This window comes from Homo sapiens, chromosome 16 (genome assembly GCF_000001405.40).
Source record: "Homo sapiens chromosome 16, GRCh38.p14 Primary Assembly".
Lineage (NCBI taxonomy): Eukaryota > Metazoa > Chordata > Mammalia > Primates > Hominidae > Homo > Homo sapiens.
Genome location: NC_000016.10, coordinates 47,868,506 through 47,884,998, shown reverse-complemented (window position 1 = coordinate 47,884,998; position 16,493 = coordinate 47,868,506). Strand labels below are relative to the sequence as shown.

The window sequence follows — 16,493 nt, the reverse complement described above, 5'->3', positions numbered from 1 at the left end:
TGGTAATCAGATCTTTCAAGAATAAAACCGGGCTTTTTTTTTCTTTTTGGCTTCTGGTCTTAAACCACCAACATCTTCTTTTTCCTCCCAAATAAATATATGAATAGAATTCTCTTCCCAAACAACAAATGGATCATTTTCTTATTTTATTTTAGAAGGAAGATCTGGAGTCATTGTTGATGCAATTCAAGCCAACAGCTTCTACCAGTAAATGCCAATGGTCCTATTTTCTGTGCGTTTGATAGCCACGTTGCTTATTTATGGCTCTTTTATTATCCAGACCTGCTTGGCCGTGGATGAAGGCATTAAGTCAATTAATTGTGTTTGGATGCTGCAGGACTTGTGTTTTGTGAAGCAGCAGAGGATTGCAAGCTTGATTCTGAGGAAAGAGTCTCAGAGAGGGAGAAAGAGGATTAGATGGTTTTATGGGGAAAGCAGTGAAAGAGAGCCCACCGGCCAAGAGGCCCAGGTGTGAATTGAATGATGATGCAGAGAAGGCAAGGCAGCCAAAAGGAGCTGGCTCAGCTCAGTGGGATTCTTCCTCCCAGCCAGCAGATCAGGTCTCCCTCATGAGATCACAGCACACTCCCTCCTCCTCAGAGGTTTCTTTCTCTTTCTCTTCCCTTCTGTTTCCTTTACCATTAAGAAAGTCTTCTCCTTCACTCCTTCCCCTTTCTCTCACCTTCCCACCTCCTCTGTCTCTGTCTCCTTCTCTCCCATCTTCCTTTTATCTTGGATGCTTTACAGGACTCACTCCCTTTGGCTGGCAGGGAATTGATATGCAAGCTTTTGTTCTTTCAAGCTGTTTTTCTTTCCAAGAGACACAATACCTACCTTGTGTCATGTTCTCTTGTGTGTGACTAATGGTAACAGAACAGTTATAAGCTGTACATTTGTATTCTTAGAAAGCTTAAATTAGTAAGATTTTTAATATAACAATTGTATTAGCACAAATTGTTTGCTTCTAAAACATCACATGTGAAAGCAAATTAAATGGCTTAAATTATATATATCCATTGACTACTAAACCATTAGAAAGTAGAGACTAGTAATTCTTAGTTCCAAAGGCTGCACGAATTTTGTTGCCCGAAAGTTTCTAAGATGACTGTCTTTGGCTTCTAAGAACAAAAGGGCATCTGGGTGGGAGGAAATGGCAGATACCAAGACCAGTCATCTGCATCTGATTCCATTTCTAACATTCACTTTCTGTGCTGATTCTCTCTTGACATTTTGGATATAGCAATTAATATCAGTCATAAAATAAAAGGATTTAAAAACTATAGGTTTTCCCACAATTGAACTTTTACTGGGTGAATGAAGGAAGGAATGGATGGTAGAGGGATAGATGAATGGGTGATAGATGGCTGGCTGGATGGTGAACAGAGGGATGAATGGTGGGTGAATGAAGAAATGGATAAGATGAATGGTGGATAGATGGATGAATGGATGGTGGATGTGAATAGTCTCTTGGAGTCAAACCAAATCATCTGAGGAACATCAGCAACAAGTTTGCTCATTTCCAATTAAACGGGTGCCTGTTCTATGCAAGAGATCAAGGAAGTAGATGGATTTTTGTTTCTGTTTTTTGTTTTTTTAAATTTTTTTATTTCCATAGGTTATTGGGGAACAGGTGGTGTTTGGTTACATGAGTAAGTTGTTTAGTGGGGATTTGTGAGATTTTGGTGCACCTATCCCCCGAGCAGTATATACTGCACCTTATTTGTAGTCTTTTATCCCTCATCCCCTTCCCACCCTTTCTCCCTGAGTGCCCAAAGTCCATTGTGTCACTCTTATGCCTTTGCATCCTCATGGCTTATCTCCCACTTATTAGTGAGAACATATGATGTTTGGTTTTCCATTCCTGAGTTACTTCACTTAGAATAATAGTCTCCAGTCTCATTCAGGTCACTGTGAATGCCATTAATTCATTTCTTTTTATGGCTGAGTAGTATTCCATCATTCATTCATATATATATATATATATCACAGTTTCTTTCTCATTGATTGATGGGCATTTGGGTTGGTTCCACGTTTTTGCAATTGCAAATTTTGCTGCTATAGACATGCATGTGCAAGTATCTTTTTCATATAATGGATTATTTTAAACGAGGTAGATGTTTTGAGGCAAAGAAGGAGAAGATGTTGTCCATGCCCTCAAAAAAGTTGCAATCTAATTTGGAAATAAGACAAAATAGAAATAACAATACACATTTGATTAAAAATTATATGGCACAGATTGTTCAAAGGAAACTCAGTTGGAAAAATATGGGGGTGGGGAATTCCAAGTAAGAAATGGAGTATTCAGGGAAGGCCTCATGGAAGAGTCCTCAACCAAGCAAGAGTTTAAAGGACAGATTACTTTTGAACAAGTGGGAAAGAGGGGCCATTCCTAGGGAGAAACAAATAAAATTTGGTGGCATCAAGTCATTTCTCTTTTACAGGTAGTCTCCCATTGTTTGTTCAAGGGTTTTGAGGAAGAAACATCAAAATTTTGTCTTTTCTTCAATTGTATGCTCTGCTGCTAACACAGTATCTTGCACAAATGAGGAGCTGAATTAATTCATAGTGAATGAGTGAGTTGAATGAATAAATGGAGAGCTATAGCCAAAGTCTCTACCCAGACTATAGTCCCTCCTTGGGATTCTCGGCATGAAATGAAGCTCAACCACACTCTAGCATGGGTTGTATTGGATTAGATTTTTCCTGCACAAAGAGCCCTGATAGCAACTTAAAATATGGATTGGGAGTAAGTTGACAAAATACAACTTGTACTTTGGCAATAATGGAGATAAACTAGTTTCTTCACATTTTTCTAAGAGGAACACTTTCATAGTTGAAATGAAAAGAAAAGGGCCAAAGGGGAAAACCAGAGCCAAGCTTTGACACAATCTTAATTAAATACCTTTACTCCCAGCTTTTTAGAAAAATCAAATCTAATAATATTTTGCCCATCGATTGTTCTTCAAGAGGATAATAACAAATCACTCCACTGGCTTTAGCCTTGCAATCAGCAGTGTGCAGTAATTTAATTAGCTGATGTGCCGTATCAGTAGTTTAGAGACTGCAGTTGTCTACTCTCTGAACTACATGGGAAGCTCGATTGGGAAGTGTTATGTCCTCTAAAGGTGAATGTCCTGGCCAACAGGTGGCTCGGGGAGTTTGCTAATGAGTTTTCTTTTTTTTTTTGAGACAGGTCTTGCTATGTTTCCCAGGGTGGAGTGCAATGACGCAATCATGGCTCACTTGCAACCTCCACTTCCTGGGCTCAAGAAATTCTCCTACCTCTATCTCCTGAGTAGTTGGGACTACACAGGCACATGTCACCATCCCTGGCTATTTTTTTAAAAAATTTTATAGAGATGGGGGGGGTCTCACTATGTTGCCCAGGCTGGTCTCAAACTCCTAGACTCAAGCAATCCTCCCATCTCGGCCTCCCAAAGTGTTGGGATTATAAGCATGAGCCACCATGCCCATTCTATCTATTTTAACAACCCCATCTCCTATTCTGACTCTCTTTATTCCCTATTCCCTTGCTATGTTTATGCTTTATTTTTTTCCATTAGCATGTATTATTATACAACATAGCTATATAGTAGTTGTCAGTCATCTCCCATGAGAGTAAATGGGGTGAGAACCTTGTCACTTGCTAGTCGTACTCACTATGACTACTTTATCTTTGCCTGAGGCTAGAACAGTGCCAGGCACACAGAAGGCACTCAATATTTCTTTAAGAATGAGAAAATAAATTTATTGGGTTTTTGCTTTGCATATTTAGCCCTCAAAGAGCTAAGCTGCAAGAACTCCAACAAGACTTATTGTTTATTGAATACCCATTATGTGTGAGGCACTATGTTAATCACCTTACATTTATTAACTCATCTAATCCTCATGACACTGTGAAGTAGATACTATTATTACCCCTTTTATAGGTGAGCAGACTAATGAAGTCAGCCTGCTGGGCCTTGGGTTGTCAGAGAGAGATTCTGTATGAGGGCAATTATATTTAGGGCTATCCCCTTGGCAGCCTGTGTATGTTGAAAGTAAAGAAACCACTTGCATGATGATGATGACCTTGATGATGATGATGACCTTGATGATTATGACAACAACAATGATGATGATGACAATGGTGGTGATGACATTGATGATGACGACAACGATGATGACGACGATGATGATGACAGTGATGATGATGAGCTGATATATGAAGTACTAACCATGTGCTGGGCAGTACAGTGCAGTGCCCAGCACACGGTAAGTGCTGTGATATTTATTTAATCTGTACTGAAGCCTTAAAAAGTAGATGCTGATATTATCTTCAGACTATAGTAAGGAAAATGAGCATGAGATAAGTTAAATAGCTTGTTTAAGGTCACACAGCTACCAAGTGTCACAGTCTGGCTCCAGGGCCATGTAGAAATGCAAATGCCATCAAAGCAAAAAAAATAACAAGGAAAAAGGAAGTCCAAACAGAAGAGGATTCCAGAACTAGAGTCCACATCAACCTCGCAGATCCACAAGCTGGGACTCAGCAGATGCCCTCATCAGAGTGGAGTTATAAAGAATCCAGAGGCAAGGGCATTCTTTTTCCCTGAATAGACTTATACAATATTTACAGAAAACTGTTCATTGAAGAGACCATTAAAAGTGGAATCTCTTACCAAAAAGGATTTTTATACCTAATCATCACTAGATAAGTGAAAAAATTCATGCTCCATGGAGCTAAAAACACTCTCCCTAGGGGATGGAAGAAGCAGTCTCTAAAATAATAAAGGACATGTTGGATAATCAGTATACTAAATAATTTACACAAAAAAACACAAAAGGGCCCAGTTCCTTGCACTTACCTGAAGGATTTTTGTTGTTTTTGAATAAGGTTGTTTTACTTGCTTCTAGGTTATTTCTTTTTCCACTTGAACTGCCTCAAAAAGAGAACTTCAAAAGGGAAAGTTACTGGGAATGGAATTCAGTAATATTTAGGAAGAAGTGAAATTAAATATTATTTGATGCCACGATTCGTGGCTGTCCACACATAAGTTCCTGGCAGGGAGCTCACTTAGCTAAGCTTCAGGAAGAATATTCAATGGGTTTGTGAATTCTACAAACACACCATCATCACTCACTCACTCACTCTTACAATGTGGGTAGGACTCAGGGACAGGAGAGAAATAACCAAAGTCTGAGTTCTCTAGAAGCTCCCAGAGTAAAGACCAGAGCCTCTAGCTTTCCTATCACTTTTCTTCAGCCAACTAGAGTCTTAATAATTTAAACATTAATAGTTATTATTTGTTGAGCACTTTAATGAGCCAAGAACTATACTAAGTGCTTTCTGGTTATTATATCTTTTAAATTCTCACAATAAGCTCATGAGAGAGATAAAGGAATTAAGGCTAGAAAGGTGAGCGGCATTTACCCCAGCCTCCTAGCTAGTATGAGGTATGGCTGAGATTTGAACTGTGGCAGATGTCACTCCAGAGCCTGTACTGTCAGCCACCCCACAGTAGTGGTTAAGAACACTTTTGGAGTAGATTTGGCTCTAGACAGAGCTAAGTTCAATTCCTACCTCTAAACCTCACAGAATGAGACCAGTTGAGAAATGGTTCCTCCAAATGAAAAGGTGGGCTCTTTGATCAGAAGAGGAAGTGGTGGGAGAAGAAACAGATTCAAACCAGCAGCTGTCATTTACACGTGCACGGATTTGTTTAGGAGGTCACTTTCCTCCTCACAGCCGGCAATGACATGATGGAATATTGATGCGTAGTCAAGGAATGCTGTCCAGATGTGACTGCCTTCTGAGAACCTGGGAATTAAGAGAGATAATTTCAAGGTACAAGAACCCTGAAGACAAGCCACATGCAATTCAGTGATGCCCAAGGCCACCTCTGCACTGGAAAGAGTGGTTTGTCACCTGTCGTCTCAAGTATCAGCTGAAATGTCATCTCATAGGGCACTAGAATAGAAAATGCTAGGCAGGGCAAGGTCAGCTGCAAGGTCTTTTTTTCATTTTCCTTTTTGAAAGGAGTCCAGCTTACTGTCTTAGGTTGGGGTCCCTAGAAGCAAACCCTGAGGCAACTATTTAAGTGCAAGTTGCTTATTTGGTAGGCGATTCCAGGAAACCAGGAGGAAAGGGAAGCCAACACAGCATGTTCATGAGTAGGCTCTTGCTGGAGGCATTCAGGGTTCAACCCTGCTCAGGACCTCCAGGGGACAATGTAGAGTGTGCCTCAGAGTCCAGGTACTTCTTCACCACCTCCCATCCATCACATCTTGAGGCTTGCTCCCAGGGGCAGCTCCTTGACGTTTCTGGTCCATCCTGCGGTTAGGCTGAGAATACTCAGCTGTCCAAAGAAACCTCCCAGGGAAAGAAGTAGAGGGAATTGCAGTCAGAAGCCACCTGGCTGGTGTGCATGGAGATTGGAGGTGCCAGGGGAGGAGGGCTAGGCACCAACAGTGCCTGCCATGGGTGCAGAAAACTGTTTCTCTACTGGGAGAAAGGTGATAGCCTCTGTGTCAGTGAGAAGCTGAAGAAGCTACTTGGCTTCAACCAATTGTTGGCCATGCAAGAATGTGGACCCATTATTCGAGAGAAACTATAAATCTAAATTGTATTAGAAATCCCTAGATTTTCAAATGTCTTGGTAGCAAATTGAAAAATTTTAAAACACTGCAGGCTACACAAGCTCATGTGCTGGTCCCAGTTTGTAGCTTCTGATATAAGAGATCCTGATGCCATTGCTCAGTGTTGGTAATGCAGTTGTTCCTTTCTTGAAAGGGCCTTCCAGCTGCCACCTCACAAGCCCTTCATCACATCCCAGGGAAGAACTCATTTTCTGAGTGAGATTACTGCAGAGAACACATCTCAGAGTTGTCCCACCCGAGAGGTAGAATTCAAGGTGAAGGACTTTGCTGAAGGCATCACAGCTAGTTTGTGATACTAGGGTCTCCCAGCTGTCATCTTTTCTGACGATCCACCTGATAGTTTTATGATGATGCCACCTCTTTCAGGTGAGCCTTATCAGAAGTGGCTGCCTTAGATCAGGGCCTCTAGAGAGACAATGTTTTCCCCCTCTTTTCCCACCTACCATACAGAGATAGAAATTTCTCAAGGGTGAATAGCAGCCATTTGATCTTATTTCTCTAATAACTTTCACACTAGGAAATTCTGTTCTCAACAGCCTTTCAACAGCATCCTAAAATGTAGAGTTTAACGGTAGACATGAGAACAATAAAAATGACTGTGGCAATAAAAGTGATTCTCTAAACACCCACAGACCACCTTGCACCTCTTTAAACTTCCTGAGAGGTCATAATCAGGGAATGAGGACCAGACTCATTCATTCATTCAGCAGGTAATTACTAGTGCTGAATGCCAGGCATGGTTCTAGGTGCTGAGGGTGAACCAACAAGCTCCCTTCTCTCATTCACAAACAACTTCTTCAGGGGAACACACACCCACATTGGAGAAGTTGAGAATGCAGCTCCAGCTTGACTTGAAAGAGCTGGGGCGCCTCCTTGACCAGATGAGGGTAACGCTCCTGACTTGCCCACCTTACAGTTGTGTGTTGAAGTCAGATGAGGCCACAGGTGTGGAAGGAGTTGGGAAACTGAAGGACTCTTCAAGTTAAGGCATGTTTATTACTTGCCTTGTCTGTCCCTTTGGCCTTTCCCATGTGGAGGGGAACAATTGCATCTTGGGATCACACAGGATGAAGTGGTTAGGTAATGTCTTCAGTGTTTACCCAGAAGGAGGAGATGCCTGCTTTATCAATCGTTAGATAAAAAGGACTCCTGTCCACAAAGATTCACTGTTTCACAGCAAATTAAGGTGTTTTGCCTCAAACATTAGTGCTGGGAGATCCAAATCAAAGCCTGCAGCCCTGTGTTTGGATGTTTCTTATAAAGGTGCACTCAATAAATATTCATGCTATTCAAAGGCGTGAGAGCCAGAAAGGGTCACCTCAGCCATTCTCATTTTACCAGTGGGAAAACTGAGGTCCAAAGAGAGGAAGTGACTTGCCAGAGGCTGCTCAGCAGATTAGGGCAGAACAGAAGGGGAAGCCAGGTCTTAGTCCAAAGCACTTTCCACAACAAATTCAAAAGTGACCTTCCATATGAATGGTCTAGTTTATTCAATATATTTGTGCTGAGCACCTTTGGATGAATGGTCCTTGGGTAAGTGCCTTAGACAAGTGCTTTATTCAAATAAATGTCCCGGGTGCTTTTGGGGTTTTTCTGACTCAGGAGCTCTGAAGTGGAGCCTAGGAACCTACGTATTATGTATTACAGCAAATGCCTCTGGGTTATTCTAGGAGCCAGGCAAGTTTATGGAATGCCAGCCTGCATGGCCCGGGGCATGGTCTTAACCAAAGCTGGGCAGGACCATCTCAGAGCACACACTCCCAGGCTTCGCCTCCAGCGACACTTCATCATTATTTCACTGTACAGCAAATCCTCACTTCACGTCGCCAATATGTTCTTGGATGCTGCAACTTTAAGCAAAACAATATATAACGAAACCGATTTTACCATAGGCTAATTGATAGAAGTAAGAGTTAAGCTCCTATGTTTCTGGTCACAGAAACATCACCAAACCTCTAGAAAAAAACCCAAAACACTTCTGATATTAAACACTGAAATAAATTGAACTATCCATACATTAAGAAAGATTAATTAAAAACAAGTAAGATAATTATTTACCCAATTATTCCAGTTAAGGATTTCAGGAGCCCATCCCAGCAGCTCAGAGCACAAGGAAGGAACTGACCTGGCTAAGAGGCCGTCCCATGGCAAAGCACACACACCCGCACTCACTCCAAATGGGACAAGGAGACGCACTAGTGAGCCTCCCGTGCACGACTGGGATGTGGAAGGAAACCAGAGTATCCAGAAAAAATCACACAGGTATTGGAAGAACTTGCAGACTCCACACAAACAGTGGCCCCTGACGGGAATCAATTTCTTTTCCTTATCAATATTATAACAAAATGGCATTGAACAAAATGACATTATTTAAGGACCTGCTGTATTTCCAAAACCTTTCCTGGGTGAGCCTGATCCACACCATATGCTCAGGAAGTTCTGGCCTCGTTGTTAATTAGATCACTGCCATAGAGGCGGGGACACACCTGGGCTCAAGTCCCAGCTCCCCAGTCACCAGCTGTGTCACCTGGGGTAAAGTTATTTACCCTCTTCAAAACACAGGGGATAATAGCAATAGAGCCCAGCTCAGAGGGATGTTTTGAGGATTAAATGGCATGATATGTGTTGGGCCTTTAACACAGTGTCTGGCGTATGGACATCCAAAGAATGCTAGCTATTATTTTTATTTTATGTAGTCTGGGAAACCTATACTTATCTGATAGCCGAAGACTCCACATAAAGCTACAGCCTCATGAAGGTAAATAAGGTTGAAAGGGAGCATGTAACCAAACGTTTTGTACTGGACAGAAAAAAAAATACAAAAACCTTATAAATCCGAGGCTGGGTATGGTGGCTCATGCCTGTCATCCCAGCACATTGGGAGGCTAAGGCAGGAGGATCACTTGAGCCCAGGAGTTCAAGACAAGCCTGGTCAACATAGTGAGATCCTGTATCTACAAAAAAAATTGTTTAATGAGCTGGGTATGGTGGCACATCCCTGTAGTCCAGCTACGTGGGAGGCTGAGGTGGGAAGATCACTTAAGCCCAGGAGATTGAGGCTACAGTGAGCCATGATCGTGCCCCTGCACTCCGACCTGAAAAAATCCTATAGATAGGGAGTTTCAATAATAAACTTTGACCAAAAAAAAGAATCTGTTCCACTAGGTGAAAACTTCACTCTTTTCCTCCACATCTAAACTCTGTCTTCCTATATATTCTCCCCAGCTGAGGGACAATTCCTAGCATGAGCATTTCAGTATAGGAAGAGCTTGGAATGACCTTTGCATTCAAGCACACATTGTGGATTTCTCAGAAAATCTCCAAATCTTCCAAGGTTACTCAAGCACACACTGCTGAACTGATGATGTTCTGAATCAGGCCACTTTTTTTTTAGCACTTTCCCTGATGAGGGGTTACCATGAGCCATCCATTTTGTTGTTCTGCAAAGAAATTACCCCATTCCAGGGGATAAAACTGTTTCAAAGGAGCTAAGAAAATAAACACATTTTCTCTGTATTAAAGCCTCTGCCTTCTTTGAACTTCTCATTTTTAGAGTATCTCCACTGATAAGGACAAATGTAATTTTCACCATCAGTGGATCTGAACAGACAATTACATTAAGGCAAATAAGACAGGGTGAGGCCAATGATGTGAATCACATTGTATGCATCTCATGTGCAAACAAAACTCTCAGATAACAATGAACACCCTCGAAAAGCAGTCAACATTTTTTTTTTTTTTGCATCTAATCAGGGCCCAATTTGCATAAACATTTCTTTACCTACCACCTCCACAAAATCAGTTACTGGCATTTGGAGATCTGGGAAGAGGGGAGAATTCAGTCAACATTTAAGACATTTTCCCTAAGGGAACTGCTCAACTCCCTTAGGAAGGGCTTACAGGTGCCTGGCAGAAGCCATGCCCTCATTGCTGCAGCAGGGCAGGTTTACAAGGCACTCTCATGCGCGTTCCCTGATTGGTCCTCACCACAATACTCCAAGCTTGGAAATTCAGATCGTTTCTTATCTTTACAACGAAGAGAAACCCAAGATTACAAGTGGTTTCATAGGAAATGGCAGGACTGGGATTGAAGTCTTACTTTCCTCTGGAGAAGCCTAGGTTTGCCTCTGAAATCTCCATCCAGTCAATGAGTATCAGCCAATCCAGTAGGTTTGCAATGGTCTGATGCTGCTCTTACTCCCAAGCACAGAGGGAGACACTGGTTTAGAGCTCTGCAACGAAACAAAAACTTGGAAAGGGGCAGCAGGAACTGAGCTCAGCCCTGCTGAGATTACCATTTTTGCAAGTGGCGTTTGAGCCAGCCCAAGTGCGGGAAGCAAAAGGTTAGGCTCACAGAATGAACTCCGTGTTGAGCTTTTGTGTGCAGGAGAAAGGGAAAGAAATGATATTCAGGAAAGGAGTATGACGGAGACCATGGGGAGGGTAAGACAGGCCTGAAGCACATGTAGAGAAAGGCAACGGCCTGCTCCTTAAAGCCTCCCTAGTGCCTTGGCACCAAACAGAACAGAGGTCCAGGCAGATGTGCCTCGGAAAGGAAGTTGGCGGCTCGTGGGGTATTATTTGCAGGCTTCAACAAGCATGGCACTCAATGTTTGATGAGGGCCTTGGGTGCTATCCAATGTGGGGGTGCACTGGTGTCACAAAGCTAAGTGAACTCTCCCAGCCCACCCTCCACTCCTTGGCCATTGACTTGCTTCTGTCTCCCCCTAGCTGCTGATGTGGGTGGTGGAGGGCACTGATGCTACTTCTCTGTGTATGGGGGCAAGCATGGCACAAGAGGGAGGAAGGGATGAAGGTTGAGGTTTGCAGAATGGGTTTCTTTGGGTTTCTCCAGAGAAACAGATAGCCCATTAAAGGGTTCAGCCCTACGTTTTGCTACTTTATGCATCGTTCCCAGGGAAAAAAAAAAAAGAGACAGAGAGAAAGAAAGAGGAAGGATGACCATTATTGGTGGGGGAAAACAGCTTGCAATCCATGACCTAGACATTTACTGGGGCTCCATCCAGCTCTGAGGCTCTAAGATTTTCCCCTTTCTACCAAAAATGGACCTGCTTCATTTCTCTAGCCTAGTATTTTCTTGCAGTGAGGTAAAATATCAGCAGGTATTTTATATGGTACTTGAAAAGCATTATTTTGATAGTTATGCATTTATTTTAAATTATTGTCTCATGTTTACAGCAACTGATGCTGGATTTGCATTTATGATAGTAATATGAAATGTCTTTTTAAAGTCGATTTATTTACACCTTTAAACAATGAGTTGCTTTCATTATTGAGTAGTTATTAAGGAGTAGTATATGTCTAACATGGCAATGGCAAAAAGCATGGCATCTGATTCACAAGAGTTTGGTACCTGCTGTGCCAACCCAATTGGTGGAGTCGGCTAAGCACTGGCATAGAAGCCAGTGGAGTACCCAGCAGGACACCCAGACCCACCCCGTCTCATAGCAAGTCAATAGGAAACAATGGCTACTGCACAATAATTCACAACTGGCCATGCATGGCTCCCATCCCAGGGGCAAGGACAGGCTAAAGACACAAGATATAACAGGTGATGGCAAAGCAAAGGCACTGCCCACAAAGGGTAAAGTTGGGGAAGACCCATGGTCGGGGGGAAGGGATAGGACCCTTTCTGAGCTTGTGTCCAACCTCTGCCCTCTAGCCTAGCTGGTCTATACCATCCTATATCCCCGCTGTTTACTTTCACCTCCTTATTTTTATGTTTCCCATGACTGAAATGGCCTCTGCTCTCCTGTGTGTATTTCAGAATTCAAGTCCCACTTCCGTAAAACCTTCCCTGAAACTCCAATAGCATAAATGTTTTGGTGCCTCCCTTTGGCAATTTCCATGCTCTGCCCCATATCGCTGCACCCTGCCTAGAGATGGCAGGAAATGCACCCCATTGACATTTGAGATGATTTAAGGGTGAGCTGACTCAGTCTTAAATAACATTAAATCACAAAGTGAGAAAGTCACTCCCTTCTGCTTCTGCTTCTGCTTCAGTGTGTCCGATTAAATCAAGAAGGAAGTCTCAGCTTGGGAGTAACATGTCTTTAACAACCACAACATTTGCTAATCTCCCCTTTTAACAAAGAGCTTTGGATGAGAACCCTCATCATGTAATAGTATTCGTCCAGAACTTAACATTATTTTGTTTTCTATATATGTATATATTTTTTAACTAAAGCAAATTATTCTGGGTTTTCATTTGAAATGGTGATTTTTAAATCAATGTCTTTAAATAAAAATCTAGTCAACTGGAATAAAATATTAGGCAGTAGCACATAATGCAGCTCCATGTAAGGTGCTGTTGTGTGGACATGAAAAACATTGGGAAGGTGCTATAGCAATGACCAACATTCAGAAAACATGGCAGCTTTTCTGTGGGTACAGTTAATCTGTTCATCTCCACATGGCACAGATTGACTGGGATGCCAGGAGTGAGAGCCTGGCATCATCCTGTCCTGGCTTGTTGACCCCATCCTCCATCAGCTAGACTCTGTCATCCATAGAATAACAAAAAACAAGCAATAAGCAAAAACACCAAATAGCAGCAACAACAACAACAAAACAGAGAAACAAAACACACTGGAAGGGGACTGAAGACTCATAGAACCAAGAGGAAGTGTGAAACTAGGGCAACACAGTGACCTCTGAAGACCAAAAAGAGGGAGCATAGGAGTTTTCTGTGGGGCGCACCCACCACTACCGTGAAAGAGCCCTGACTGACTATCCATTGGTGTGTTCAAAGTCTGTTGAGAGTGTTTGACTGACTGAGCTCAAGTCACAAGCTGGTATGTTGCTACCAGGGGACAGAAGAGGAAAGCACAGCCCCTCAGCTCCCACAGCTAGTAGCCAGGCACTGCCTCCTCGCAAGACCACACTCAGTGGGGATTTCCTCTAACGAGGAGGGCTGGGTGGATGCTTAACAGCCCAAACATGACAAATGTTCACAAACACACACACGCACACACACCTGCCTATGCTGCATTTCATCCCTGCTGCACTACCTAACGTACCTCCCTCTCAGTTATCCTCTCTCTCGCAGGTATATTCAATGTCTCCCTCTGATACAGTTTGAATGTTTGTCCTCTCCAAATTTCATGTTGAAATATGACTTCCAATGTTGGAGGTGGGGCCTGGCAGGAGGTGTTGGGGTCATAGGGGTGGATCCCTTATGAATGATTTGGTGCTACCCTGGTAGTAATGAGTGAGTTCTTGCTCTATTAGTTCGTGTGAAAGTTGTTTGTTTAAAAGAGCCTGGCCTCTCTCTTGCTCCCTCTCTCGCCATGTGACACGCCTACTCCCCGGAGCCTTCCGCCATGAGTAAAAGCTTCCCGAAGTATCACCAGAAGCTGAGCAGATGATGGTTTTATGCTTGCACAGGCTACAGAGCTGTGAGGCACATAAACCTCTTTATAAATTACCCAGTCTCAGGTATTCCTTCATAGCAACACAAAACAGACTAATGTACCCTCTTTACTTGCCTGTTCCCTTGAGCCTGTAAACTCGTTTGAACCTCTCTTATCTTTAAAATCCCTCCTTTACCATACATTACTTATAACCTATTCCCTAAGAGTTGGAAAAGTGGTCTTCACTCACCACCTGTACTTCCTCACCACTCATTCACTGCCCATCCCACTGCAGTCTGACTTCTGACTCCCCAGCCCTGGCACTTCCCTGAAGCTGTATTTTCCAGGGTTAACAATGAACATAAAGTTATTCAATCTGAACAGTACTCTCCAGTCTTGAGGTCCTTCGGGTGTTGATCACTCCCTGTTTTTTCTGAAACACTCTTCCATCTTGGCTCTGAGACCCCTCACATCCAATTTTTCATTCAGTAGATGTATATGGATCACCATGACTCACTAGAGCAGGCACTGTGGTCATAACTGGAGATACCGTAATAAGTAAGTTGGCCAGGGTCCTGTCCTGAAGGCACTGAGAACCTAGTGGGAAGACAAGCAACTAGGCCAAGGCCATAAAGCCTGACACTCAGAGGTGGTACTCAGCAGTGGAGTGGGTTGGATTGTTGTCCCCAATTCTTCACTTCCTTCCTATGATGAAATTGCATGCCCATGACCTCTGCCTTGTGAATCTGTACTACGGAGTCTGCTTTCCTGCCCCTCTGACTTTGAGCTTGGCCAGGTTCCTTGCTTTGATCAACAGAATGTGAGCAGATGTGACAAAGCAGAGGCTTTCTATGTGCTTACAGCTAGGCTTGGCCTCTTGCACTTCCACCACCTGCAAAAATAAGAGCATGTCCTAGAATGGAAGCACATCCTAGAATGAGAGACATGAGGAACAGACCTCATCAGCTGCAGCCTGCAGCAGAGCTGCCCCAGCTCGTGCCCCATGATGGGCAAAAAAATAAAATATTTGTTGTTGTGAGACACTGAGATTGTCAGTTTTCTGTTATATTAGCATTATAGCAGAACCCTGACTTTTTGTGTCGGACTGCTGACCCTCTGAGAGCACAGAGAGTGGGATCTAGCCTTACAGGGGTTGATGTGAGAAGGCGGTGTTGATAACTAAGCCGAGTCATGAAGGATGAGTAAGAGTTGGCCGAGAGAGTGGGATGGGGGGCAGAGGATTGTGGGGAGTTCCAATGGAAGAAGTAAATGCACTGAGATGAGAGAGGAGCCAATAGGCTTGGAACAGACTCACTGTTCACTCTAGCTGGAGCGTGGAGTGCAGTACCTTGTTCCTCTGCTTCTCTGGGCCATCTCAGCACCTCCTATGGCTGTCTTTATCATCTTTGTGCTGACCTCCTGATTTTACAGCTCCAACTCAGACTTCTCTCAAGCTCCAGGATGCCATCTCAATGGGGCTCTCAAAGTCAACATGTCAGCATGTCCAATATTGACCTTCTTAGACCCCTTACACATGTTCTTACTGTGCTCCTGATCTCAGTAACAACTTCTGCCCCCACCCTTGCCAGTGCCAAGGCCAGGAAGCTTGGCCTCCTCCTGGAGTTACTTAGTTCCCCGCTTAGCTCTACATCCAATAGGTTCTGTCTAGTTTACCTTCTTACCTCCCACACCTGCTCCTGACTTTCCACCCCTCCTTCCACTGTGAATAGCCACAGTGTTACTGGACATCTTGACCTTGTTCCTAATTTTATTGGAAATCCTCTGATATCACCAATAGTAGGATGCATGTTAGTGACTTCTAATGTATACATTTATCAAGCTGAGAATTTCCCTTCTATTCATAGCTAAGACATTTTAAAAATAAGGAATAGGTGTTAATTTTGTAAATCATTATTTTCCTGAATTGATTTAAATAATCACATTGTGTTTATTTTTTAATGAGTTAATGAGATATCCTGAGCCATCATAAACCATACTTGGTGATGATGTAACATTCCTTTAATTCAATCCTTAATTTTGTAGAGGGATGGGTTCTGTTACCATTCTCGTGTTGATTTCTCCCAGTCAACATCTCCAACTCAGACTTTCTGCATTTATGTTCATGAGGGATATTGACATATCTCTTTCTTTGTAATATTATGTAATATTACATGACATATTTTAGTAATATTATTAAAAACTCATACAATAGGTTAGAGCCTTTTAATCGTTTTCTACAATCCAGAAATTGTATGTGTATGTGTAAGTAGGTAGGTAGATAATGTTTACAATATGGAAATTATCCATTCCTTAATGGCTTTATAGAACTCACTTATTAAATTACTGGATCTAGGGTTAATTTAATAAGTGAGTTCTATAAAACCATTAAGGAATGAATAATTTCTAGGGTTATATCTTTGATTGCCTCTTCAATTGCTTGCATGATTATTGGTCTTCTCAAGTATTTTCGTAAACTCTAGT

General features: G+C 42.6%; 2 long non-coding RNA genes across 2 annotated transcripts in view; one reads left to right on the top strand and one right to left on the bottom strand.

Annotated features, from left to right (window-relative positions):
* Window positions 1–16,493, top strand: part of LINC02192 (long intergenic non-protein coding RNA 2192) — a 37,817-nt gene that overhangs the window by 2,132 nt on the left and 19,192 nt on the right. The window lies entirely within an intron of this gene.
* Window positions 1–16,493, bottom strand: part of LINC02133 (long intergenic non-protein coding RNA 2133) — a 49,851-nt gene that overhangs the window by 23,433 nt on the left and 9,925 nt on the right. The window contains exons 3-4 of the long non-coding RNA NR_110650.1: window positions 5,564–5,800; window positions 4,848–4,935 (exon numbers count right to left, since the gene is read on the bottom strand). This is a non-coding gene — a long non-coding RNA (long intergenic non-protein coding RNA 2133). The remainder of the gene's footprint in view (window positions 1–4,847; window positions 4,936–5,563; window positions 5,801–16,493) is intronic.